General features: G+C 43.5%; 2 protein-coding genes across 23 annotated transcripts in view, besides 1 other annotated feature; both read left to right on the top strand.

Annotated features, from left to right (window-relative positions):
- Positions 1-4204, top strand: part of NCKAP5 (NCK associated protein 5) — a 1003049-nt gene extending 998845 nt beyond the window's left edge. For all 19 annotated transcript variants that reach the window (XM_017003975.3, XM_011511100.4, XM_047444134.1 and 16 more), the window contains one exon: positions 2687-4204. In XM_017003975.3, the coding sequence (XP_016859464.1) occupies positions 2687-2968 (282 nt within the window). In that variant the 3' untranslated portion in view covers positions 2969-4204. The remainder of the gene's footprint in view (positions 1-2686) is intronic.
- A 261-nt stretch (positions 4205-4465) lies between these two features.
- LYPD1 (LY6/PLAUR domain containing 1) overlaps positions 4466-26611 on the top strand; it is a 28241-nt gene continuing 6095 nt past the window's right edge. Inside the window, exons 1-3 of one of the 4 annotated variants that reach the window (NM_001321234.2) lie at positions 5787-5945; positions 6073-6111; positions 7455-7592. In NM_001321234.2, coding sequence (NP_001308163.1) covers positions 5885-5945; positions 6073-6111; positions 7455-7592 — 238 coding nt within the window. In that variant the 5' untranslated portion in view covers positions 5787-5884. Of the gene's footprint in view, positions 4814-5786; positions 6146-7454; positions 7593-26611 lie in introns of those variants that run through there. The other 3 variants (NM_001077427.4, NM_144586.7, NM_001321235.2) reach the window with 3 other exon arrangements.
- Positions 5961-6924: an enhancer, noted in NCBI's record as "H3K4me1 hESC enhancer chr2:133426641-133427604 (GRCh37/hg19 assembly coordinates)". NCBI's record gives its function as "activates a minimal SCP1, AML or CMV promoter by ChIP-STARR-seq in naive H9 embryonic stem cells {active_cell/tissue: H9 hESC(naive)}" and the evidence as "EXISTENCE:reporter gene assay evidence [ECO:0000049][PMID:30033119]".

The following is a 26611-nucleotide window of genomic DNA, read 5'->3' as shown; positions in this document are numbered from 1 at the left end:
GACTGAATGCTAGTTGGTCCATATGGTCACTTTTGCATGGATGTTGTTTTTACAGTCAAGTAATATGTCTGCAGTCACTTTTCATCAAAACTGTAAAAATAAAAGGAAACCCGAGAAGTTCATGTTTCTTGTTTGCTTTTTTTTTTTTTTAAATAATGGTCCCTTCTTTCATTTCTATAACCTCTCTGGCCAGTGTAGGTCTTTGTTATAATTAACTGAAGCAACAAATCTGTAAGCCTGAAACATTTGAAAACCTGATGACAGTGAGTGTTTTAATGGCAATTAACTCTTCCCAAATTCCACCATTTCACAACGAATTATGATTTCCACCTGTCTGTCTTCCCTCCAGGGGTCATGTTCTTCTAGACCAGTGGGTCTCAAATTTCAGTATGTATCAGAATCACCTGGTAATCTTGTTAAAAACTGATTGCTGGCCCTCAGAGTTTCTGGTGTAGTAGGTCTAGGTGGGATCCAAGAACTTGCATTTCCAGGAAGCTCCTTGGTGTTGTTGACGTTGTTGGTCTGGGGAACACACTTTGAGAACCACCATTCTAGAATAAGAATCCAGCCTTACATTTATTGCACACCCACTACTGTCTGCCAGAGCTTTAAAGTTCTTTATTTCTAATACTTATTGCAGTCCTGAAATAAAGATGTATCTTATCACCATTTTACACCTGAAGAAGGATGCTTGTAGCACTCAGCCCGTGAAAGGGCCAAGCTGAAATCGAAGCTCAGCCTGTCTGCCCTCAGGGCCTCAATGATCACCCTGCAGGACACAATTTTATTCAGCTGTGTATCTTCAGTACCAAAGCCTTCAGCCTGCCTTGCAGTAGCTTCTCTAATGAGTGTGTGTTGAATGAATTTGAGATCCACATAGATGAGAAATAGGCAAGAAAAATACTTGTGGTTCTTAAATGAAGAAAAATGGAGAAGACATCCAGGTAAAGAGAAAATTGCATTGAATGCCATTTATTTACATCCATTTGGTAAATGTAGGCAAATTGGCATGGTGTTGAAAGGGGCCCTTGGATGGAGTTATTTCTAATTATGGAGCCACTTTTCTGTAATCAGCTAGGAGTCTGTTCCTTAGCCCGCCTCTGGTTTCAGGGTAGCTGTGTGTGATTGAAAATTAGCTCTGTGAGTAATGTTTCTGCACGTTAGTAGTATAATGAAATAAGCACTAGATCTAGGATGATTTTCAAATATTCCCATAGAATTATACCATTTCCTATAGCAGAGAAATTCTGCCCGTGTCTGCTCTTGGAACACAGAAGCCATCCACTTCCATCTCTCTCTTCTCTTTCCATTCTTCACATTAGCATGTGAGAATCCATAAGCTTTGGCTATATCTATTTTCCCAATCAAAAGACAGTTTCCTCATTGCAACCTTGTTGAGTCCAGCATAACAATGTTGGGGGTGGGGAGCATGGTGCACAGCAGAACTGCACATGTTAGAGACGGTTTGGCAAGTTATTTAAGTGGAATTTTTGGGTAACAAAATGGAAAACAGGACATTGTGTCCTTTATTACCTAAGAACATGGTTTAATGGAAAGAACAAGAGCATGGAAGGCAGCCAGACAGAAATTCAAATCCTGTTCTCTGCCACTTGCTGGGCAACCTTGGGCAAATATCTCTGTCACTCTGAGCCTTGCATACCTTCTCTTTAAAATGGGGTCGTTTACCTTGTAGGTTTGTGAAAAAGCTGATAGAATCTGTTAAGTGTCTTTTACCTAGTGGATGCTTAATAAATGGTAACACTTACTATCATCTCCAAGCCCCCGGGCCTGCTTCTTTCCTGTGTTTGGATGGAATTTCTGCTGGAAAGAGGAAAAGAAGATGAGAAATATTGTAGACACTTTTACATGTCTGTTTTTCTCATTGTTTTTCGCAAGTGTGCCTCCCTCTGTCCTCACCTTAGCCCTTAGGAGCCAACTGAGCAACCGAATATATTCATGTTTACAGGGTTTACCTATGATAATTATTGAATTTGGTGCAGTGCTTTATACATCATACAGGGTATTAATAACAGTAATATCCCAGTATAAACTGGTATTACTAGACCTTCTGGAGCAGAGGGGTTACTCAGCTGTTCACCTGCCGCTTTAATTTTTAAGCCCTTGGGCCTTCTGGGATCTACACCCAAAAACCTGGAGATCTCTTTCAAATATCTTAAGTCCTATAAAGGGACAAAATACTAAAATGGCAATGCTTCTAACAAGCTTAACATGTATTCAAAAATGGCAAGTTAGGGGATTTTTATGTCTTTTTTTTATTAGAAAAAAACATATTACCATAACTTCTGGCTGAAATTCAATACCTACTCATATTTAGAAAAAGTACAGCTAATACTTAGCAAGGAAAGAGAGGAGTTTGAAACTTTGATGAAGAAAAATAAGGCACTTTACCTGAACAAATTTCAAATGGATCCATTTAAAATGAAATTAAGTGGCACTTAATTTGCAAATTGGGACCTATTTATCTCAGTAAAATGATTAAAGTCCTGATTTATCCCTAAAATTGGCTTTATTATTACATCTAATTATACTAGAAGATTATTAAAGACTTGTAGGTTTTCTCTGTCCCTTTAAACTGTACTTTATACAGACAATAATTGAATATTAGATAGGATAACTTGATTTTCCAAAGAAATATGTTTCTAATATTTTCTTCTTTTTATTGCAGAAATTGAGACAACTTGAAGAAACAAAAGACGATCCCGAGAATAGATTATCGAAAATTTCCCTAGAGTCATTCAATAAATTTAACAGCAATACTGTGATTTTATTAGAAAAAGAGAAGAACTCTCTGAACAAGGTTGAAGGACAGAAGGAAGAAAAAGAAAAAAATGAAGAGACATCTTTGAGTAGTTCAGATAGGCCTGGGGTAGACAACTTGGAATCTTTGAGTGATTCTTTATATGATAGCTTCTCTTCCTGTGCCAGTCAAGGTTCAAATGATGTATAAAGGACATCTCTTCCCTTAGTGAGCTGGGACTGGAGCGCTTAAGAAATGATGGGTGGGGGGTGGGGGGTGCACCGCTTGATAGAGATAACAATAAACTATTGCAGTACCAGAGCCTTCCTTGTCAAATTCACAGCAGGCAACCCACCAGAGCTTATTTCTCTGACAGGGCAATAAAGATAGACTCCATTTATTGTGTTTCAAGAGGATTAAGCGTAAACACATCTATGATACAGAATCCTTAATTTTGCACTTTTTTTGAATATTTGTACAGAAGTTGTAAATTTTTTGGAAGAGAAATTATATTTGTAGCAAAAAAAGACAGCAATAAATGGAATCAGTGCCATGCTCTTGAAATAATGTACTAAGTCTTAGAAGTTGATGATAATATATATTTTTTAAAATCCCAACTGAAGTTTTTGTGAAGTTCGTTGTCCTGGTCCTCAAATTGTTTGTGGGTACACTCTGTAAACCTACAACAGGGCCTGCCAAAAAATCGGAGGGTTCCTCCTCATCTCCATCTCACAAATCTCAATTTGATGGAAATGTTCATTTTAGTGTAATTTCAGATTCGTTGCCAGAGATTCAGGTGATAGTAATAAGTGTCATTCTGCTTCTGCTGAAAAATGAAAAGGGTCCTGAAGTGTGGACACTGATTGGGAGTGTGACATTGTATCAGAAATGACCGAATTCTATTCCCAATACCAGTTTTTCCTTCCAGACATTTCTTTAGATTGTCTTTTACTTAGTGCTTCTCTATGATCCTGAATATTATTTGATTTTTATCTTCTTGCTCTTTTTATTAAAATCTGGGCACTCTAAAAATGAAAACAAATTTCTATTTGCAATGTTCACTTTTAAAAATAAAATTAATGGTGCTACGAAGAATTCTTTTTAATATCCTTTTTTTTCTACAAAGACTGTTTATATGTAAGGATAAATTCTATTTTAAAGGTTATGTGTATTTTTTCTAGATGTGAACTATTTATAATTACTTATGTACAGGAGCTTGTAAACTAGGCCCAATAGAAATATTTTTAGGATCTATATGGCTACTTTAGCACATAATTGTTTCTTTAAAGAGTATTGTATGATCAGTGTTATTTGGTTAATTTGTGCAATTTGTTTTATTTTATCTTAAATGAAAATTATGTAAAATGTCCTTGTCTTTCAGACTTTAAAAAATCTTTTTGTTTCCTTTCTGAATAAAAGTTATATCACATTTGCACCCTCTGAAAACAGAAAATAACTTGCTCAAGGACCTTTTGGCCCAGTCAGTTACTTGAATCATGACTCACACGTGCTCTTACAATGGGTTCCCAGAAGGAATAAATAAATTGGCCCTTTTGCTCCAGAGATAGTAATTTAGCCAATTGTAAGATCAGAGTCTGCAGACAGGTGAGTAATGGTCAAAGCATTTCAGTCTCCCCGAGGGGTTAACCAAATAGAAATGAAAGAAGGGGGAGAGGGAGGGAGGGAGGGAGAGAAGGAGCCTGAGGCAGATATGGAACGATCTCTGCAGAGGAATTACAAAGAAAGTCATTTAAGCCCCTTTACAGACCAGCTCTGCTGGGAGGATGCAGAAATAAATGATCAGCGTCCCGGCGTGAGAGAGCTGCCCCCAGAAGTGGCCGGGGGAGAAAAGGGTGAAGAGGAGCTAAAGCTTAGGAGGCGATTTCCACGGAAATGGATGCTCCCTAAGGATGTGCGGAAAGGGGATGGGAATGTGCGGATTGGGGGCGGGGGCACCAACGCACTCCGGCGGGCAAGCGGTCTCCCGCACCACCTGCTGCAAGGCTCGGGAAGGAAGGCGAAGATAGCACCGGGGCATCCCCGGGAGTCCGCAAGGTGGGTCACTTGGACTTTGCGGAAAGAAGACGAATTTGAGGGGTGTGGGGAGCAGCCAGAGGCCGAGTCCGAGGCTGGGATGGCCTTTCAGGAGAGGACGTGGGAGTATGTGCTAATAATCGGTGGCTTTGGGGAAAGCAGAATGGAGCCGGCTGGCGTTTGGGAGACAAGGAATGGAGGAGAACAACCCTCTTCCTCACCCTGATTTGCTTTCTGGTAGGACCTCACGGCAGGTGTCCCCGGGACGGCGTTCTCCTAGGCTAGGCGACCAGGGCGGTGTCAATGCACCCTCCAGCGGTGCGCGCAGGCGGGAGAAGGGAGGGCGGCCCGGGCAAGTGAGACAGTTAAGGCAGTGTCCCCACCACACCCCCACCCAGATTGGCCACGCCGAGCTGGTTCTTGACAGAAGGCCTTCGCGGAGGAAGAGGGGGCACAGCTGCACAGGACACCCTACGGAGCCTGCGGGCGTGGAACTTTGCCAGGCGCACGGGAACGCGCGCCCTTCCTGTCAGCCTCCCGGGGCGCCAGGCTCCCGCGGCCCGCAGCGGGACAGCCTCAGTTGTGTGGGCTGGACCCAGTCGCTGGGGTACCGACCAGTCCTGGAAGGCGCAGAGGACGTGGAGTGGGGAGGCTGCCTTCCTATGTGCGAAGGGCCAGCCGGGCACGCAGTCCTCAGACCCTAGTCCGCACCCGGCAGGTCCCCACGGCACCTGCTGCGCCCTCCTCGCCGCTCCCCCAACCTCCCCATCTCAGAAAACTACCAGTTCTCTCCCGCCCCCCGGCGCCCCTTTCCCAGGAACGTGCGGAGGCGGGAGAAGAGGAAGACAGGAAGGGGGTGGGGATGTGAAGCGACCGTCCCAGCCTTCCCCGCCCGCCACCCCCACCCCAACTCGGCAGCCGTCACGTGATGCCTGGAGTGGGAGGTGGGGAGAAAAGGCGAGACTTTTGTGGGTGCTCCCGATCGCCAGTAGTTCCTTCAGTCTCAGCCGCCAACTCCGGAGGCGCGGTGCTCGGCCCGGGAGCGCGAGCGGGAGGAGCAGAGACCCGCAGCCGGGAGCCCGAGCGCGGGCGATGCAGGCTCCGCGAGCGGCACCTGCGGCTCCTCTAAGCTACGACCGTCGTCTCCGCGGCAGCAGCGCGGGCCCCAGCAGCCTCGGCAGCCACAGCCGCTGCAGCCGGGGCAGCCTCCGCTGCTGTCGCCTCCTCTGATGCGCTTGCCCTCTCCCGGCCCCGGGACTCCGGGAGAATGTGGGTCCTAGGCATCGCGGCAACTTTTTGCGGATTGTTCTTGCTTCCAGGTGAGAATACCCAGAGGCCAGCAGCCGAGGCCAGGTGCGCACAATCCATCTACCCGCCAGCCCTTTTGCCCCCAAGGCGCCCACCTCGGGGCCAGCCCTGCGCTGGGGCTGCCCAGCGGGAGTTGGCGGCCGCGACTGGTGCCCCGGGGCGCGAGGCTGGGAAAGTGTCCAAGTCCCGCGCTGCAGGAGGAGAGCGGGGAGCGGCGGGTTTGCGGGACTCCGGGCTGCAGCTTGTCCGGCTGCACCGTCGGGAGAAGCTGGGCTTGAGAGGAGGGAGGGTCCGAGCGGTGCTGGGTTCTGGGCGAGGGAGAGGGGGCGACATCTCCCGAACCCTGCCAAGTTGTCTGGCGCCTCCGGCACCCCGTGGGAGTGGCGCCGCCGACAGGTGAGCGATGCGCGAGGCAGCCTGCGGCCACGCTGAAGCTGGGTTGCTGCGCTCAGAGTGCGATAGATGTGGGGCTGCGGGAGCGTGGGTAGTTGGGTCTAGACAGGAGCGCGTACACCGAGAACAGCCAGGCCGAAGCGTCCAGAGGCGCAAAGGTCTCGCGTCCTCTCTCCAGTTCGCCTACTGGCTCCCGACTAAGCTCTGCAGAGCTGGAACCCCGACCACTGACCCTAGTCGAACGGTTGTCCTGAAAGCCGGGGCCTGGAAGAAAGGGCTGCGGGGTCGGGGATCCAGGGTGCGCGCGCTCACAAACGCCCTTTCCCACCCTCTGTGGCCATTCGGGTCGCCGCGGGGACGGCCCCGGAGAAGGGCCGCCGACCCGGGCTCGGGGACTTGCGGCGCAGCAGCGCTTGGCGTCTGGCACCTCCACCCAAGTTGTTCCCAGGTGGTCGCTCAGGGATCCTCAGAGCCCTGGCACAGAAACGCTGACTTTAAAAATTAAATAAATAAAAACTAAAAAGACGTCTGCGAATGTAATCACGAATGGTGCCAAAATAGTAATTAAGTAATTTGTAACCAATTAGCAATTAGGCAAATCCTTTGGCTTAGGCTGGAGCTAACGCACATCTCCAGAGCTACTTCACTCTTGCGGTGGTACCGTCCCCACCCTCCCTTCAACTTCTTGGGAAAAGGCCTGGGGTGGTAATGGATGGGCGCTTTGTGTCTAGAGCCGGGGTCCAGGGGTGGCGGGCACTATTCCACTTTCTTCCGTAGGACCCTAGGTACCCGCGCCGCCCCCTGCCGGTGTCAGCCACATCCAGCCCTACCCGGAGACCCAGGAGTGGTCTAAGCCTGCCAGAGGCTGGGAGCCGCCTGGCTCTGAGGCGTGGGATGGTCGTGATTTCCGGGGTGGGCTCTGTGGGGGCCGGATCTGAACCCGACTGCGTCTGTCTCGCAGGCTTTGCGCTGCAAATCCAGTGCTACCAGTGTGAAGAATTCCAGCTGAACAACGACTGCTCCTCCCCCGAGTTCATTGTGAATTGCACGGTGAACGTTCAAGACATGTGTCAGAAAGAAGTGATGGAGCAAAGTGCCGGTAAGAGCCTGGCAGCCCTCCCCCTCGCTCTTAAGCCTGGGCTGTGGGGTGGGAGTGAGGGGGCCATTAAATAGCAGGAAAAAGGACTGACTTTGATTTAATGCCCACACACTGGTTATCGCAGATTTAGTTTTACAGTGCTGGGAAAATGAAGAGTTCCAAGTTACTTTAATCTCATTAGAGTTAATTACCAAGGCTTCTCCCCAAGGGTCTTGGGAGGGGAAGTGCATGTAAATTAGTGGCTCTCCTCTTTTTATTTACTCCCTTCACCTCCCTATGCTAAAAGCTGATGGAGGTAGAAAATATATGGCTAACCAGCCCTGGCTTGGGCAACTAGACAGTAGCCTGTGAGCATTGTCAGCCTGAAATATGGAGCTAGTTGAAGCTCCCAGAGGTCAGAGCTTGAAAAATGTGTTTTGTCATAGAGGCACACCATATTTCCTTGAAGAACACTACAGGATCTTTGTTTAATTTTAGAACTAATGCATCAACTTCCAGGCACAAATTGCCAAGATCTTTCAAAGGAATGCCGTTCTCAGCCCTACCAGCTTAGCTGCTGGCTAGCTGAGAAGAAGTCCTGAGCATCCTGTGGGGGAAGGGGAGGTCTTGTGGGATAGCCCTCACTCCCTCTAGTTGACCAAGAATCTTCTCACTGAGGTAGAACTTTCCAACCCTCTCCTCACCCCCTACCCCAGCTGTCTTATCAGAAGTCAAAGTTCCCCAAAGTATATCTGGAACTTTGGGAGAATAGGTAGAGCTGTTACTTCAGTTTCAAGGTCAAAACCATAAACACAGACCTTGCCATTTTAAGGATATTAAAAGGATGGGAAATAGCATAACTTGATGGCTGATAGTGAATGAACCAAAGCCCCCACTTCCTTTAGTTCTGTGAACTGCCTGCAGAGCCCGGTGAAGTGATTAGAACTGTTATATGATTCCCTTTACCCGCTGGCAAATCAATGCAAGGACTCTAGTTTCAAAGCCAACACCTTGGGAAAGTCGTTTCTTCTCAGAGAAGGGCCTGGAAATGTCATATTGCTATCCTCATGGTTATTTGGAAAGCAGATGTTAGCTTGACACTGTGTTGTGTTGTGGTGTGTGTGCAGTTGTAAGGGCTGGTTTGTATAGGTCATTATTTGTTGCACCAAAATCACTCTTCTGGGAAGCCTCAGACATACTGGCTCTCAAGGGTAACTTGTCTCGAGAAATGCGGTAAACATTATTTTGGCACGTGGGATTTGGGCTATTAATGATGCAAAACAAAACAAACTTGGCGATAATTCTTAAGATTGATAGGGATAATTTGAACAAATGGGATTTTTTTCTACTTGTGTTTCTTTCCTACGTTTTACCTGAGCAAAGAATTTACTGCCTTTCTACCAGAGGGACTGCTGTGATTTTAGTCAGAATTACTGTTAACACTTTATTGTTACTTTCAAATATTTGCAGCTTTCTTGAGACAGTAGTTTAGAGCCAGACAAAATGAGAATGTGCCGTGGACACGTTAAGAACTTCTTCAGAGTCCACAAGGCCACTGCTTACCTGGGTGTCATATTTTATCACCTGGGATATGGTTGAGAAGGGGATGTAAGCTAAATTTGAGTCAGAAGAGGTCCTTTTTCTGAGACACATTTCTTCTTCTCTAAAAGTGTATCTAAGATGAATACCACACACTCCATTTTCAAAGTGCTGTTTTTCATCTTGCTTCATTCTGTCCTCAAAACCACTCTGTAAAAGAAGCAGAGCAGGCATTTTAACTTCCATTTTATCCACAGAAACTTCAGCACAGACTTCAAGTGTCTGGCCTAAGGTTGCTCGCTTTCTATAAGCTCAGACAAGGTAGGTACCTTGTCTCCAAACCAGGCCCCTCTGGCCACAGGTCACAGCCCAACAGGTAGAGACAGAATCAAGTAATAAGGCAGTTTCAATTGTGAAGTTTGACAAACAGAAGCAGTCGATGAACTCAAAGGAAAAAGTTTTGAAGGGAAGGATGCTAGGTCGGGGTGTGTGCACATGGAAGCAAGGCATTCTAAGCCTAAACTCCACAGAAACAAGCCAAACGGATCTGTTTCTGCATCAAAAGAGCAATGTCCAGGGGGGCCTTATACCTCCAAAGCACTTCCATTTTTATGTCCATGTACTTATTAGGGACCAATTTAATTTTTTGCCAATAAGGATAGAGAGCAAACCTAAAACTTTAAGTGAACACAGTTGTAGTATAATCATCATATTAACAAGAGCTAACTGTTGTTGAGCGCCCAAGGCATCTGACTCTTTTCTGTGGGTTGCACATATAGAATCTCGTGAAATCTGGTGGTCCTCTTTCAGGATCTTGTTTCCTCATGCCACAGCCAGTCAGCATGTAATTCTATTACATGGTCAACATCTCCTCTCCAGAGAAAGTAATGCCTGTTAAATGATGCTATTAAGAATTGAAGTCAGAATTTCTTTCAAGTTTGATCAATAACATATGTTGTCCTGAGAATCTCAGCATACTAGAGCTGAAAGAGCCCAGTGACTCCTAGTTAAAGATGCATGTTGGAATCTTGCTGGGAGTTTTGTTCAACTCCACATGCCTGGGTCTCTGCTTAAAGAAGCCCATTTCATAGTCTGTGGTATATCTGGCCATGGGTCTTTTATAAACTTCCCAATGATTCTGGGGTGACCCGAGTTGAGAACTGATCTGGACAAAACTTTTTGTGTTACAGAGGAAGAAAGCAAGGTCCAGGAAAATTAGATGCTTGGTCCAAGTTCACCAGCCAACTGTTACTAAGAGGCGCTTGAAGCCTGCTTCTCAGGCCAACACCTTTGCTGTAATACCACACAGCCAGCATGTCGTAAAATATCCTGCCAGGTCTGCCTGAAAAGATAGTCCAGGCAAAGTTCAAAGAGTTTAGGCCATTTTTCATATCCACCAAGTTCACCTAACAGTCCAGGTAGACAGGCCATGAAGTGGATGTCAAAAGAATCTGGGAAGCAACCAGTGAGATTTTTAAGTTTGAGTGCTATGTGGACTTGCATTTTTTCATAGATGTGGAAAAACCAGGGCTTTAAATCGACTAAGAAAATTTAATGAACTAAGCCAGTCTGACATTAAGCAGTAATGAAAGGTGTTCTCTTTCCAAAAAATACCAGCCATGCAATATGCATAGGCCTTCAGTTTTCTGGACTAAGTCTGTAAACTCAGCTCTTAAAAATTTTGAGGCAGGTACATTTAATTTTCCATTGGGAAGTATGTTTGAAATTAACCTTTACCTATTCCCCAGAGTGACATTGCTATTATGTGCTGAGATTATTATCCACCACTCTTGTTCCCTTTGGTCATTTCTGGAATAATAAGGTACTGGCTGTGGGGAAGGGAAGGTTCATTTCAACTTCTTTCATTGTCCTTACTAATTGATATTTAAATATTTGCATAATGAATGACTTGTTCTCACTAGCTCTGCACTTAATGAGTTGGTGTCTATTTACTAGCACCCTTGATAATGACACTTCTTTTGCTCTTGCTTGTCATTGCACTCTGCAAAATATTTCAAATATTGATTTTCATTTCAGAATAGAAGCCCCCTCCAGTATGAATTTTTAAACCAGGGAATAAAGAATGTGAATTTGCATTTGTTTGACAGTGCAATCTTGTAATTAGAGTTTTTCCTCTTGACTAGATACAGTGAAAGGGGCATAATTTAATTTTTATAGACTAGCCAATTTCTTCCCTTAGTAAAATATAGCTCTGTCAGTGAGCAAAATGTTACAGGTTCTCCTAAACCTTATTTAAAAGTTAAATGCAGTATATTGAGAGAAAGTTCACGGTCTGAATCAGTAACCTAATCGATCTCTTCACCCATCCTTTGCAACATGCATTAATCTATTTGTCTGTTTTGCAATACAAGAGTTACTGATTTATATGCCATGTTGCATCTACATTATGGCTGTGTAAGTAATGGCTATTTTCCTTTTGGATTAGTTAGTTGCTCATTAAGTTGGGCAGGGATGGCTTCATATCTTGGATAGTTTAGTTTTACACCTTATTTTCTCATGAGCTAACTAAGGGATAGCAACAGAGGACTAGATGTCGCAAAAATGCTTGGTCATCCACTCTTAGTAGAAAGAAGTGGAAAGTTAACCACAGCCTGTGTTTTCTTAAGTCTATGTCTGCTTAATTTCCCCGAGATCTAAAATGATAGGCTCTAGTTTGGCCTTGGGATGGGCTTGGCAGGAATGAGGCCCAGTGCTGCTAATCATAGTCCCTTTATTCCTGTATTCCTGTCATAGTCCCTTTATTCCTGTATTCTTTTGAGTGCATGCACTCAAGCTCAAATGCCTGTGCGCACACATATGTGCACACACACACACAGTCATATATTTGTGTGTGTGGATATACTTTTCCATTTTTGCCTGTATATATATTTGCATATACCCACATATGCAATGCTTGTAAGAAAAATGAAAATATTGAGTTAACCTTTACAGATACTGAGATCACAAATTCCTTAATCCATGCTATGTTGTAGGCATGAAGAACATTTTCTAAGATTTTTTTATTTTATTTTTGCAGAACAACTTTGTTAGAAGTAGCAGGGGTCTCTGCTAATCTTCCAGCGTCCTCCATTTGTCCCTGTCTCTCCTCCTCCTACCAGGCCTCTCCTGTTAGCTCTCTTTTAGACATCCCATCTGCAGTCCTTAATTTCTCACTGTTAACCCCATTTTGAATCAATCAGATGGGCTATGGAATATGCTCTATGAATAAAGTGCAAAACAAAAACAAAGTTCCACATTCTATTTTTGGCAAAGGAGACTTCAACAGCTTAAAAAACTTTAAAATGAAGCTGGGCACGGCGGCTCATGCCTGTAATCCCAGCACTTTGGGAAGCTTGAGGTAGGTGGATCACCTGAGGTCAGGAGTTTGAGACCATCCTGGCCAACATAGTGAAACTCCATCTCTACTAAAAACACAAAAAATTAGCTGGGCGTGGTGGCACATGCCTGTAATCCCAGCTACTCAGGAGGCTGAGACGTGAGAATTGCTTGAACCCGGGAGGTGGAGGTTGTAATGAGCTGAGATTACTCCACTGCACTCCAGCCTGGGCAACAGAGTGAGACTCTGTCTCAAAAACAAAACGAAACAAAAAAACCTTTAAAACATATTTGGATATCAAAAAATATATCTTCATATATTAAAACCAGCTCCGCTAAAAGGGTTTCCATATCAACTTCGATGAAGTTAGGAATTACACAGGAAGGGATTCTATTCTGTGAATGTTCACATCCCTACCTCCTTTCCTTTCCAGACACTAAAAGAACAAACACCTTGCTCTTCGAGATGAGACATTTTGCCAAGCAGTTGACCACTTAGTTCTCAAGAAGCAACTATCTCTTTCATGTGCCTTCTGAGGAAGTATTCAGAGGGGGAATATCAAATGTCTTTCCCTTGGACTCTCCCAGTGAGTGAAGTATTTGTTTATGTTAACTTTCCAGCTGAACAAGCAGCCGGTGCTGACCTCCCATCTCCATAGATGAAACATTTGAAGATTGATCCAGCTCTCCCATAACACTAATTCCTCCCACTATGATTGCATGAAAGCTGCTGTCATTGATAGTTTTCCTAATGAGTTTAAACAGAGAGGTTTCAAAGCTGGGGCATTTTTCCCAAGTGAAAATGAAACGAAGTATGAAAACAAAACATACCATTTTCTTTGAACTTTGAAAAGGAAATCTGCCTCCCTTACATACTCCTGAAACAAAAATTCTGAATCTACAGCCTTTGAGAGAGACAGTGTACCCTTGCCTGCCCTCCCTCTCTCCCGCCCGCCCTCCCTACCTTCCTTCCTTCCTTCCTAATTGACCAACTTAGGTTCTAATGTCCAAACTAAGCAAAGGTTTATTAGCACACTGTGCAAAAGGACTCAACACTTCAACCCCTATTTTTTACTTGTCCAATGGAAAGTGTATTGGCTCCCTTAGGGGAGAGAACCCCTATGTTCTAGGTTCTTCACATTTGGTAACTTGAAAGAGTTTACTTAATATCCCAGGGGCTTAGCCTCCCCCCTTGTAAAATGTAGAAACAGGCTGACTGTTTTCTTATGAGATACAGCAAGAGAATGAGAAATGCGGTCAGTATAACCATCTTCAAGGAACCAGTGCTAGACATGGAAACCTGTCTTGATGCTCACCAGGAGTTGCCCCATTCACTATCCATACCTGCTTCTGAAGGGTGGCCCAGATATTATAGTACAAGTTAGTTTGTACACTGTTTCTATATTTCTCAGAATGAGGGAGTCCTTGAATTCAGCCTTTAGTTCCTAACAGTAGTATCCTCATAGTTAATTTAGAAGGTTCACAAAGAGATAATATCCCCACTTGATAGTTGGTGAATCTAAGACACAGAAAAGTCAAGATCACACAGCCAGTGGGACAGGAATTCAAGTACCTTTCACTTCTCCAGGTTTTTTTTTTTTTTTCCGCTGTGGTGCCATTTTCTATGTTTTCCCGCTTTTTTTGTATTTTTAACAACAATTTTATTGAAATATAATTCACCCTTTAAAGTATGCAATTATGTGGTTTTTCGTTTATTCATAGAGAAGTGTAACTATCACCACCAGTTCAAGAACATTTCATCACCCCAAAAGAAACTTTATTTTATTAGCAGTCACCCCTCATTTTCCCCTTTTCCCAGCCCCTGGGAACCACTAATCTGCTTTCTGCTTCTATGGATTTGCCTATGCTGGACATTTCCTGTAAGTGAAATCTCATACTGTGTGGCCTTTTGTGGCTGGCTGCTTTTGCTTAGGATCATGTTTTATGGCTCATCCATACCACTTCCACTTTTGTTTTGTTTTGTTTTTTATTCCATAGGTAGATGTGTCCTTCCTCTTGCTGGGGCAGATATCTAAAAAGAAAGCTCAGGTTTAGCAGATCCCTACCTTATGGAATGGGATAGAATGAGAATGGAATGGGATGCAGCATGGCTGTGAATCTTAGAACTCCACTGGCCAATTAGCCAATTTGCTGAATTAAAGTAACAACATGTGCCAAGAGCAAGCCATTCCAGTGAGTTTTCGGCAAAGGAATTGGTGTTCATCAAACATCTGCTTGGTGCCATGTACTGGACTGTCCATTCTTGCCCATCTATTATATAATTCATCTGTTTTCCCTTGAGATCTTGAATTAGTTTCTTTTAAACACAGGAATCCTCAGGCACATGGATGGGCTATTCCTGAGGCCCCTGTTGGTGGTCCCAGATGCCCAGCTCCACATCTGGCCTCACTCTTAGGCCACCGTCCTCAAGAATCCCACACCTCTAAGGCTAGAAGAGACCCTATTCTCTCTGGTCCACACTTTCACTTTACAGAGGAGTACACTGTGGTGCAGAAGGGAGTTTTCTTTCCTGGGGGGCTTAAGCATCTTGATAAGTCCATTTCTCTCTCTTCCCTTGAGAAAGCTTGAGGATAAAGCAGGTTGAGAGAGGTTGTGGAGAAAGGTTTTGGTTAAAGAGATCAGATGCTGGCATGATTTGGTCGTCTACAATGAATACCATGTCCATGCACAAGCCTAGCTTTTGTCCCCCAAACCAAATCATTTGATTACAGCCTTTGTATAGGCAGAACTCCTTACTCATTTAACCATGAGACATATCTTTTCTTCTCTGTTAATTTTTTCTAGAAGACTAAGCTGGATTCTCCCTTGCTTTGTAGTTTTCATGGTGGTAGAAGTGACTATATTTCAGGGAGCTGGAGCAAAGTTGCTGGTAGAAGACAATGTGTTTCCTACCCTGGGAACACCAAAAGAGGCCATACCTGTAATGGAGGATTTTCAATCATACCTGGAATGAATCAGCCAGCAAATGAAAGAACTATGAGATGTGCCATTAATTCTTTCTAGAATTTGACTTGTGGCTACATCGTGATTCTGAAACTCTTTTCACAGGCCAGAGCTGTAGGGCATGTTCTCTTATTAGTAAATTGCTTCCAGTCTTCTGATTGCTTCCAACACTACAAAGCAAAGCAGGAGATGGACTGAATTAAGTGTTTTAGATAAGGTGAAACCATAGAGAGTTCGTAATAAATTGCTTCTTTAGAGGATGTGTTTAAATAGAATAGAGCAGCGATGGCTCAAGCTATTGATTTCAAGGGGTTTATGACTTTGCAAACCATGAGCAGGATCAGATGCAAAAGTGATAAAGTTGTATTATTTTAAGGAAGTTGTGATACGCGGTCCAGTGCATTTCATTTCTCACTGGACATGGACAATAGCTTTTTATGTTTTTCTATTTCTTGGACTTCTTTGTGAGCACAGTGGAATGACTGGAGACAGTGCTAGAGGCGGGCCGCGCCAGGCACGCGGCTCTCAGCCTGCAGTGGTCCATGCATACTGCACACGGGTTGAATATGAATGTGCAGAGCAGTTTGCAATGCCCTCCACGGAGGCATCTTCAAAGAGCATCAGCAGAAGCAGGTGTATTAAGTGATGCTGGGCAAGGGGGTTTATGCACTGTTCTATTACTTATGCAAAATGTAGCAAACCACTTGGGTCTCCAGTAACTTCAAAGAACCTATTCAGAAATAGCTAGAGCCTAGCGGGTTGACTAGTCTGCCACCCAGTGAAGACATCCAAAGTGGGAGTGCAAAGGGGTCCCAGCTCCAAAGCCAGCTCAAGATTCTCTCAAGAGTGTCTGTGCCTTCAAAGGGAAAGGCAGCCAATAGGCCGGAGCCACACCTGGAGGCTGATGAGTTAACATTCTCTGAGAGGAAGGACAACTTTCCACCCAGCCTGTCACTGACTGCTGCAAGGGAAAGAGGGATAAAGCAAGTCAGGAGACATTCTGCATAAGAGTGAGTTAAGATCCAGAAACAATTTCATCTTTGTTCAGTGTTCTCCAGCCAGCAGCTCAGTTTGCCTGGCATCACATCCTCTCAGTATTTTAGAGTGCATTTTCCTAATCAAATTGAACTACAGCTTCATTCACGGCTTTCATTTCTATGTACAAGATCCTGAAAGGATGCTGTTGGCTCTCTCTCACGCACACTCTCTCATGCTCTCTCTCTCTTTCTCTCTCTACCTCACCTTCCCTCTGTCTTACACAGACACACACACTCACTGGTATGGAGACACGCAATAACTATTTGCTGACTGCGTATATTGAAGAAACCAAGTTTCAAGCTAAAACAGATTTATCACCATTTCAAAATATTATAGCAGAAATGAAGGAGCTTAAATGTTTAGCATAAGAAGAAAAATAGAATAAAGACAAGTTGAATATACCTTTTACTTTTTAGTTAAACTAGAAATAGCTGACTAATGCCTGTTAGTGATAGTTGTAATTTAAGGAACCACTCTGAAATGTAATCCACCCCTGGTTTTATAGTTCTTTTTGTCAGCTTGCTTTTAAGGCTGACCTGGCTTTGCTTTGAATAGGAGTGTTTTCAAGAAACACACACACACACACACACCTCTACAACACCAGCTTATATGGTGGTTGAGGAAGCTGGGGTCCAGGTTACCACTGGCCAGTCCTCAGCTGGAACTCTGCTACCTTGGAATTCAGCCTTGGTCATCAGCTCTCCCTTGGGAAGAAGGAAAATCCCCCCACATGGTTTTATGCCCCCTGGTCCTCACCCACACAGAAGATGCAAGTTACAAATACAGGTATGTTCCACAAGACACAGGCAGTTAGACTTTCAGCTGAGGGATATACTTCTAAACCATTCAGTTTGGGCAAATTAAACCACAAAGGGAAGCAAACAAACTTCGTTTTTACTCTCCTGCTGTCTGCTTTGCCCTTACACTCTTTCACTGAGCTCTAAGAATTCAACTAATTGCTTGTATTCTTGCCCCCTTTGTTGAATATCATTAATATCACTGTCATGATATTGACAAAACCTGGCATCATCCTCAGGTGGAAGGCCAAGGCAGCTATGGCTGCAACAGCTCCTAGGCATCAAGCAGCATTTTCCATCCCTTCATTAGTCTCTGGGGCAACACTTCCTAACAGAATTTACCAGCCATTACTGCTGCCCCCGTCCTTTCTGTTCTTGCCTCCACCCTAGACCTTGCTTCCTGTATCACATAAGAATGTTTTTGGCTGCAAGTAGCAGGGACATAAACCATAAAGGCATTTCTTGTTTATGTAACAAGATAGTCTACATAGGTGATCTTGGGGTTGCTCCTACAGCCCAGTGATGTCATCAAAAACTCAAAATTTCTCCATTTTTCTTCTTACTTCCCTAAGCATGTTGGCTTTTTGTCCTCAGGTTTCTTGCCTCTTGATCACAAGATGATCACTGTATTCAGGTTCAAGGGAAGGGATGGCACCAAAGAGCTTGTGTCTTAAGCTTTGCCTTTTAATGAGAACGCAAAAGAGTTTCCAAAGTCCCCCCAGAAATTCTCTTTACATTTCATGGGTCAGATCACTGTCTCATGGCCGCTAGTAGCTGTAAGGGTAGTGACTGAGTGGCCAACTGTGATTGTCTGCCAGATCAGCTTTTGAGAAGTCCATGCACAAGATTAGAAAAATTCAACAAAGTACCTCCAGGGACCCCTGGAAAAAGGACAGGGATAATTTTTCTTTCCCGAAAATCACCATTATTTTACCTCAATTGAACGCTGAAATGTATAGTCAAAGGACCTTCATCCTGGATCACTGTCACCCTTTGGAAGAAAAGAAACACATATACCAACAAATGTCCTGAACTTTAACACAAGATGTACATGCCATTCTAGAATTCTAGTTCATTGAATGCTGAGATACAAAAGTATAACTAAATTTTAGTGTGAGGACATCATGTTCATGGTGACAAATATAAGGGTGCTTTGGGTTAAGTGCTTAGATGTTCTCAGTTCATTCCATCTGGAAGTCGTTATGCCACCAAGGACTCTCTCTTCCCTACATTTGGGTGAATTTGTATGCAAGAAACTGATTAAGAATCTTTGGGCCCCACTGTGTTAATCTTACCATTTGAGAACAATAATCAGAAGGACATCAAGGTTAGAAATGCAACAGCACAGCTTCATAAATCATTGAGGGGGCACTGTTAATACTGAGATAATAAGTCATAAATATCTGTTCCCTCAATCCCCCATGGCAAACTGGAGAACAAAGACACCAGCTAAGGGAAAGCAAGTGACTGCGCAGAAACCTTCCTCCCTCAGAAAGTTATAAATGAGCAAAGAAATCCAAGTCTAATGCAAGACTAGAGTAAAACCAACAATTGGCATCATACATTATGGGTTGGTTGTTTGCTTGCTATAATTAAGTTGACATCAGTGGTTAACAGCCTTGAAAATTAAACTCACCAAAAATCTTTGAAAAGGGTAATCAAAGTCCTCTGAATAATGAACTTAACGCATCCCTGTTACAAGGAAAACAAATGTGTTCTTGGGTTATCTTGTTTCATGTCTATTTCATTGTGGATGTGGCTGTTGTTTTCAGAAACACATTTATTTTTACCCTTAGGGATCATTGCAGCCCCTTAATATTATTCTCAATTTTCAGTTCTACCAGCTAGGCCAAGATGGGCTCAACATCAGTATGGATATGCAGTGTGGAACTTGGCACTTCCTTTCTTTTTCCCTTTTTAAAATGAGTTGTTAGCATTCTTGTTGGGTTCCTGTGGCCATCTGCAACTCAAATGGAGGGGGCTTTTTTGGCCTTTAAAATATTCACATTCATGGCAAAGCAAAAGTACTTAAGAGCCAGAGCACAAAATTCTCCAGAAAAGAACTACTTTCTTGATCTTCTCTCTTTATTCCTGATAAACGGTGCCCATCGTGGCGGCAATGAGGCAAATGTATAGAGAAGCCTCTACTTTCCAAGTCATTTTCATTAGAATGCAGAGAATGTCAAAATTCCTCACACAGTGTTCTTTCAGACAAAAAAAATACTTGGATGCAGATCGAAGATCTTTTTTCTTGCAGTTTCTTTGAGCTCAGTGAAAATGCTTGTAGTTCATTCCAATTACCCGTTCCCCAAGCATTTTTCTTTGAGGAACTGTTCCTAGTCCTGCATAGAATATTTATTGTGATGTAATCGTAACTATGGTGTAGTGTGTGTTAGTTATTTTTCCAGTAGGGAAGTCTCACTCCCAAACAGGCATTCACACAAGCAGCAGTTTGCTGGAAAAGTTCGTCTTTAAAGCTACATTGCATAACATGGGTAAAAAGTAATGGACTATTAAAGGCTCTGTTTAGAAATTTCTGTCTTTGTACAGCAAAAAAGAGCAGAGGCAAAGGAAACTATTGGAAAAGATAGATGCATAATGGTCCACAGAAAAGAACTCAGTCTCCATGCCTCTGTTTTTACGACCACTGGGGCAGAGGTTAAAGTGAAAAAACTGGAAAAATAATTTATTTTAAAAGCATACTTGTAGCACGTCGTTTGTAATAGAATTGTAGCTTCAAACTCTCTGAGATTGCCGAAAGTTGTATGTACATCTGTAGGGGAGTGGAGGGGGGTGACAGATCTTCTTTTGGTCTCAATACAACAAAGAGGCTCAATACTTCTAGCAGAAAAAAATGTTAAATGATGACCATTTATGATCCTCAAGGTCCAGGGGCTATTTGTAGGAGAAGATTAGTTTAGAAAATGCTTCTTGGCCAGGTGCGGTGGCTCACGCCTGTAATCCCAGCACTTTGGGAGGCTGAGGTGGGCGGATCACGAGGTCAGGAGATCGAGACCATCCTGGCTAACACGATGAAACCCCATCTCTACTAAAAACACAAAAAATTAGCCAGGCATGGTGGCAGGCACCTGTAGTCCCAGCTACTTGGGAGGCTGAGGCAGGAGAATGGCGTGAACCCAGGAGGCGGAGGTTGCAGTGAGCCCAGATGGCGCCACTGCACTCCAGCCTGGGCGACAGAGCGAGACTCCATCTCAAAAAAAAAAAAAAAAAATGCTTCTCAACCCCCAAGAGAATCATGGCTTTAGAATTAAGTTCTAGGACACTGTGCAAACTGGGACAAATGGCACCTACTGGGGTCTAATGAGTGTCCAATGGTTATCAACCTTCTTTCTCACCCAGATTCTAAGGAAATTAAGAAATAAAACAAGGAACGAGGCAGATGAGGCCTGAAATATCACCATTGCTACTGAGAAAGTCTAAGTTGGAGGGAATTACTTGGGGATGGGGGTCAAATGAGCTTTCAAATTGGCATCTCCAAACCGGCTGGTTGACCCAGTCATAGACAAGACCAGATATGGGAAGTTTCTTGCCCTGAGAAGCAGGGCAGAATACCTGTTTGCTATGAGTCACTCAATTTCAAGAAGGAACAGGAAAGGGATAAGCAGCGTGTGCCCAGTCTGTTCTTTCCAAATTTACCAATCAGACACATCACTCCACCTCTCTTAGGGCAGAGAGAATTAAAAAGGGAGAGAGAGGCCGGGCTCCGTGGCTCATGCTTGTAATCCCAGCACTTTGGGATCACGAGGTCAGGAGATCGAGACCATCGTGGCTAACATGGTGAAACCCCGTCTCTACTAAAAATACAAAAAATTAACCGGGCATGGTGGCAGGCGCCTGTAGTCCCAGCTACTTGGGAGGCTGAGGCAGGAAAATCACTTGAACCTGGTAGGTGTAGGTTGCAGTGAGCCGAGATTGCGCCACTGCACTCCAGCCTGGGTGACAAAGCGAGGCTCCATCAAATAAATAAATAAATAAATAAATAAATGGGAAAGAGGCCAGGAGTCACACTAATTGACTCCTTGTTTCCTTTTACATGGATGGATGTTGAGACTGAAGAAAAAACATTCCTTCAGTAATGTTCTCTTCCCATCACAATGAAAACCAGTCATTTCAGGAGCCTCCAAGCCCTTTGAGGCAAGAGTTAAGCAGTTAATAGCACAGATGGTTGGGGCTATATCTGTCACCTACACACAGACTATGCACTCACCCTATTACTCAGCATGAGAGTGGTCAAGCGTATTTCACTGCATTTGTTGGGGGTACGTGTAGCACAGAAAGAACATGGAGATTTTTCCCACATTCGTACCAATTTTTTTTTTTTTTTTTGAGACAGGGTCTCACTCTGTCACGAGGCTGGAGTGCAGTGGAACAATTTCAGCACACTGCAACCTCTGCCTCCCAGGCTCAAATGATCATCCCACCTAAGCCTCCGGAGTAGCTGGGACCACAGGCAAGCGCCACCATGCCCAGCTGATACCAATGTCTTTTAAAAAATGTTGTATGTGGAAATAAATTGAGACTTATAGAAAAGCTGCAAAAATAGTGCAGTTTCTATATATCCTTCCCCCATCTTTGGCTAGTGTTAACAATCTACATAACCGCAGTACGATGATCAAGGCTAGGAAATTAACATTGGCACAGTACTGTTAATGAAACCATGCTTTGTTTTGAGATTCCCACAGTTTTGCCTTTTTCTGTTCCAAGATCCTATCCAGGATCCCACGTTGCATTTCATTGTCATGTCTCCTTCTCCTCTAACCTCTGACAATGCATCATTCTTTCCATGTCTTTTGTGATGTTGACACTTTTGAAGAGGACTGGTCCAGATTTTTGTACACTGTCCCTCAGTTTGGGATTGTCTGCTGTTTTCTCATGAACAGATAGAGGTTTTGCATTTTTGACAAGAATCCTCAGAAGAGATGCACCCTTCTCAGTGCACTGTAGCAAGGGGCGCATGCTGTCAATGTCTTACTGGTGATGTTAACTTTGATCGCTTTTGATTCAGATAGTATCTGCTGGGTTTTTCCACTGTAAAGTTACTATTTTTTCCATTGTAATTAATAAATAACTTGAGGGAGATACTTTGAAACTATATAAATACACTGTTTCTCCTCCAACTTTGGCCAATAATTTCAGTGTCTTTTGGTGGATCTCTCCCACATCAGTTGTTACCATGGTGTTCTAATCTTAATTTCTATTTCCCTCATTCCTTCTGCATTTATTAACTGGAATCCTTCTGTAAGAAAAACTTGTCTCTTCTGCACATACTTATTTACTCATTTATCTATGTCAGCATGAACTCATGGGTATTTACCTGATTGGATGGGGTTATAATCCAATACTATCATTATTTATTTTGTTGCTCAAATTGCTCCAGCTCTGTCCATTGGGAAGTTGGAAAGTCCAACCAAAACTCCAGCTTTGTCCACTGGGTCATTGGTCCAGAAAGGCAAACTGAGGCTTACAGAAGTGAAGTGTATTATCCAAGGAAGTGGCTCAGGGAGAATTCCAGTCTAGGTCTGTTAGACTCCAGGGTTCATGTTCTTTCCTCAGGGTAAGGAATTATTTCAGAATTAGAATGAAATATGGACATGAGCTTCTTTAGTTTCCTCCATCCCATTAAGTACATGAGGATCTACTTAATGATAAGGCCATTAAAGGAGAGGATCATGGCTTCTGGAAACTCCAGAGCTTGGTGAAAGAAGTTAATATTCTGATTTCTTGGGTCCCAGGGAATAGGTACAATGGCTGCAGTGGAATGAACTGCCTGGGAAGTAACCTCAGTATTTTGTTTATCCTTTCCTTCATTCCTTGGCATGCCCATCATTCACATCCAAATAAATAAGGCAGATTAATACAAATGACTTCCTCAGGGAGAACAATTTGTGGTATTTTTAAAGCAAGCACGCATAGCCACCCATCTCAATCCAAGAGCCCCCAGGAGGCCATTACCCCTCTAAAGACTTAAAGAGGATTAAAGTTTTAAACGCTGGGTGGCTTGATTAATTTGGTGATAGTGGGTGGTGTGTTCCATGGGCACACTCCTGGTCTGCGGATTAGAGCCGTGAGAAATGACTTGGTCTTGGCAGGACACATCTCTGTGCCTCTGCAGGGTAGGGCGGCTGGGAGCTGGTCCAAGCTGGGATTATCCGAGCCACGTTTGATGGACAGCCCTTCATCTACCAGTTGAGCCTTCTAGCTCTGGGTCTGCATCTGCGTTAACTAAGATCAGAGCCTCTCACAGTTCTGCCTTTGTCAACCAAGGCCTGGAGGTGAATTGTAGCTTTATGTAAACTCTGTTACCCAGGTGACACCAATGTAGGAATAAAATCCTACTCAAAACCAGTCAGAAAAGCACTTCCAGACCCCCTTCAAATAACCCCCTTTCCTTCTGTCGTCTTTTCCTTTTCCTCCCTTCATTTATTCATTCATTCCTTTGGTAAATACTTGTGTCGTTATGTGCCAGGCACTGTTCTGATTGCTGGAGCTTACGTTCTATTAATAAAGACACACTAGTAAAATCTGTAGTGTATTAGAAGCGATTAAGAGAAAAATCATGCAGGGATGAAGGGAAGGAAGCATCTCTCAGTTCTTTGGGGAAGTCTCCAAACGATGTCCCCCCTCTGTTCTTGGTCATGACCTTCTCCTACCCTAACCCGGCAGTGGTGGTTTCTGAGGCCAGCCATGAGGTTTCAGGGAAACCAGGCCCATGTCCAGCTAGAACCCAGCCATTCCTTCCTGCCCATGTTGCTGCTGCAGTTGTGCCGAACCGTGGTGTTCTTTGCCAAACCTGTCTCATGTTTCAGAGATGCCTCATCGTGTTGTGGACCCGTCAAACTACCACCCAAGGGACCACACTGGTGCATTGCCTCTGGACCTCTTGCCATGATATGACTTAGAGATGGCAACTCACGCACTTACATGTGTGCACACACATCCCCCTGCAGACACACCACTGGAGCACGTATTATATTGCTTTGTGGTTTCTTTCTTACATAAATGGTATGCTTAACTATCATTCTGGAACTGTCATTGAGAACCTTCCAGATCAGAATAGAGCTCTGTACTTTAACTGCTGCTTAATATGTATAGTATAAATGTACCTTTCCCCTATTAAGGATGTGAAAGTGTGTTTTGTTTTGAAGGTACATGGTGAGGAATGGGACTGTTTTATTTGTTGCATTTTGAATTATAGATCCTTCTGACTGCCCTTATGCCAGTCTCTGCTCCCACCAGCAGTCCATGACAAGGCCCTTGTTTTCCTCACAGCTCCTCCTCCCTCAGGCCCAGACCTGAGCTTATGGGGTCCTGGTTAAAGGAAAAGCAGAGAGAACCACAGGCACAAATACCCCTGCCCCGTGACCCTGAGACTTGAGCTTCGGGGCAGCTCCTGGTGGCTCTTTTCTTGAGAGTGGTCATTCCCTAGAGCCCTCTGGTGGACATAGCTAGGAAGAACCTTGTACTACACAGAGAAAGAAGCCATTTGAGGATGGTTGACTGCGGGTGTTTATTTACGTCATTTTAAAAATCATTCTTCTCGTGGTTCTGATTTTAAATGGTAAGAAAGGGTCAAAAGTCTTTTTCCCACTCCTATCCTGTGGCCGCCTAGAATCTCACGCCAGAGACAACCAATATTATCTCTTTTTTGTGTATTTTTCCATACATTTTTATGCATATGCATGTAAAATGTGTTTAATTTTTATTTTCCCCAATGGATGCATGTTATAGCATGGCAGGCAGTGTAGTATAATGGTTAAGAGTACAGATTATAAATCCAGATCTCCTGGGCTTAAATCCCAGCTCCACAACATATTACCTGAATGGACCCTAAGCAAATTACCTACCCTATTTTTGCCTCAGTTTCCCCACTTGCAAAATGAGGATTATTGCTAGAGTTACTACAAAGATTAAATGAGTTAATATTCATAAAGCTCTTAAAACTGCATCTGAAGCATAGTAAGAAGCATAAACTCATTTGGGTTTTGTTTTTGTTTTTTGTTTTTTTTTTTTAAAGGAAGGAGGAGGAAGGGAGGGAGAGAAAAGGAAGGAGGGAACTTCCAGACATACTTTGCTTTGTTTTTAACTCAGTATCATCTTCTATGGCTTTGTGGAATTGCAGTGTGCAGATAAGACACTGGAAATTTACCACTTCCCTGGTGATAGATAGAGTGATGGTCTATTCTTTTGCCATGACACTCTACTCTACCATGAATAACCTTGTGTATAGTCGTTTTGTATGTATGTGAGTATGTCTGTAGGGTACATGCGTAAAAGTGGAATTGCTAGGTCACAGAGTACATGCATTTGCAATGTTGATAGCTATTGCCACGTTGCCTTCATGGAAATTATACCTATTTACTCTCCTAACCAACAATGTGGGAAAGGGCCTTTTTATAAGATTCATGAACACAGTGTTTATAATAAACATTTAAATCTCTGCCCAAGTGATAAATAATAATGGCATCTCAGTGTAGTTTTAATTTGCATTCTTCTTATGATATGAGAGAGTATCTTTTCATGTGTTTCAAAGCTCTGTTGCGTTTTCTGTGAACTGTCTGTTCATTTGCTTTCCCTATTTTTCTAATGAGTTATTTATTCCTTACTGATTTATTATTTATCCCTTATAGATTTCTAGGACCTTTTTACATATTAAGGAAATCTGCTTTGTGATTTGAGTTACAATTATTTTTTCCAATGTTTCACTTGTCTTTTTGTCTTACATATAGGGATTTTATTAGGCAGAGTTTGTGGGTGTGTGTGTAGTCTAATTTTTCAATATTTTCTGTAATGGCTTCTGGGTGTTATGTCATAGAATAGCCTTTACAACTCTTACATAAAAAAAAAATCTCCCAAGGTTCCAAAGTGTCGTTTAGTACTTTTATGGGGTTTTTATCCCCCAACATTTAAATCTTAGATCTACTTGGAATTTATCCTAAGCATGTGAATGGTGGAACTGTTCAGGAGTTCTAAGTCCTCACTGGGCCCTCCCCACCTGGCAGCATTCCTTATTTCCTTCCAGTGTGAGTCTTTATTCTACACCCCTCTACTCCTTGGTGCCTTCGACTCTCTCCTGTGGCTTTCTTCACCAGTTGCACCAGTGCAGGCAGCCATTCGTGCCTAAACCTCAGGGCCATTTTCTTAAAGCTACCTAGCAGCCTGTGTGGTATTCAATCACATGTTCCTTACAGGGCAGCTCTCAGCATTCCCCAAAACCATTCCCGTTTGTCCCTGCACCTCCGTTCCCATCGCCAGCCTGCCTGCTGAAGTGCCTACAATGAACCTGGAAAGCTTTTCTTTCTTTATCTGAAGCCATGGGAGAGGTGGCTTATTTCCACTTCTTTGCAG

Source organism: Homo sapiens, chromosome 2 (assembly GCF_000001405.40).
Source record: "Homo sapiens chromosome 2, GRCh38.p14 Primary Assembly".
In the NCBI taxonomy this organism is placed as follows: Eukaryota; Metazoa; Chordata; class Mammalia; order Primates; family Hominidae; genus Homo; species Homo sapiens.
Note: the sequence above shows the minus strand (reverse complement) of the source record. Positions and strands in the feature narration are given on the sequence as shown.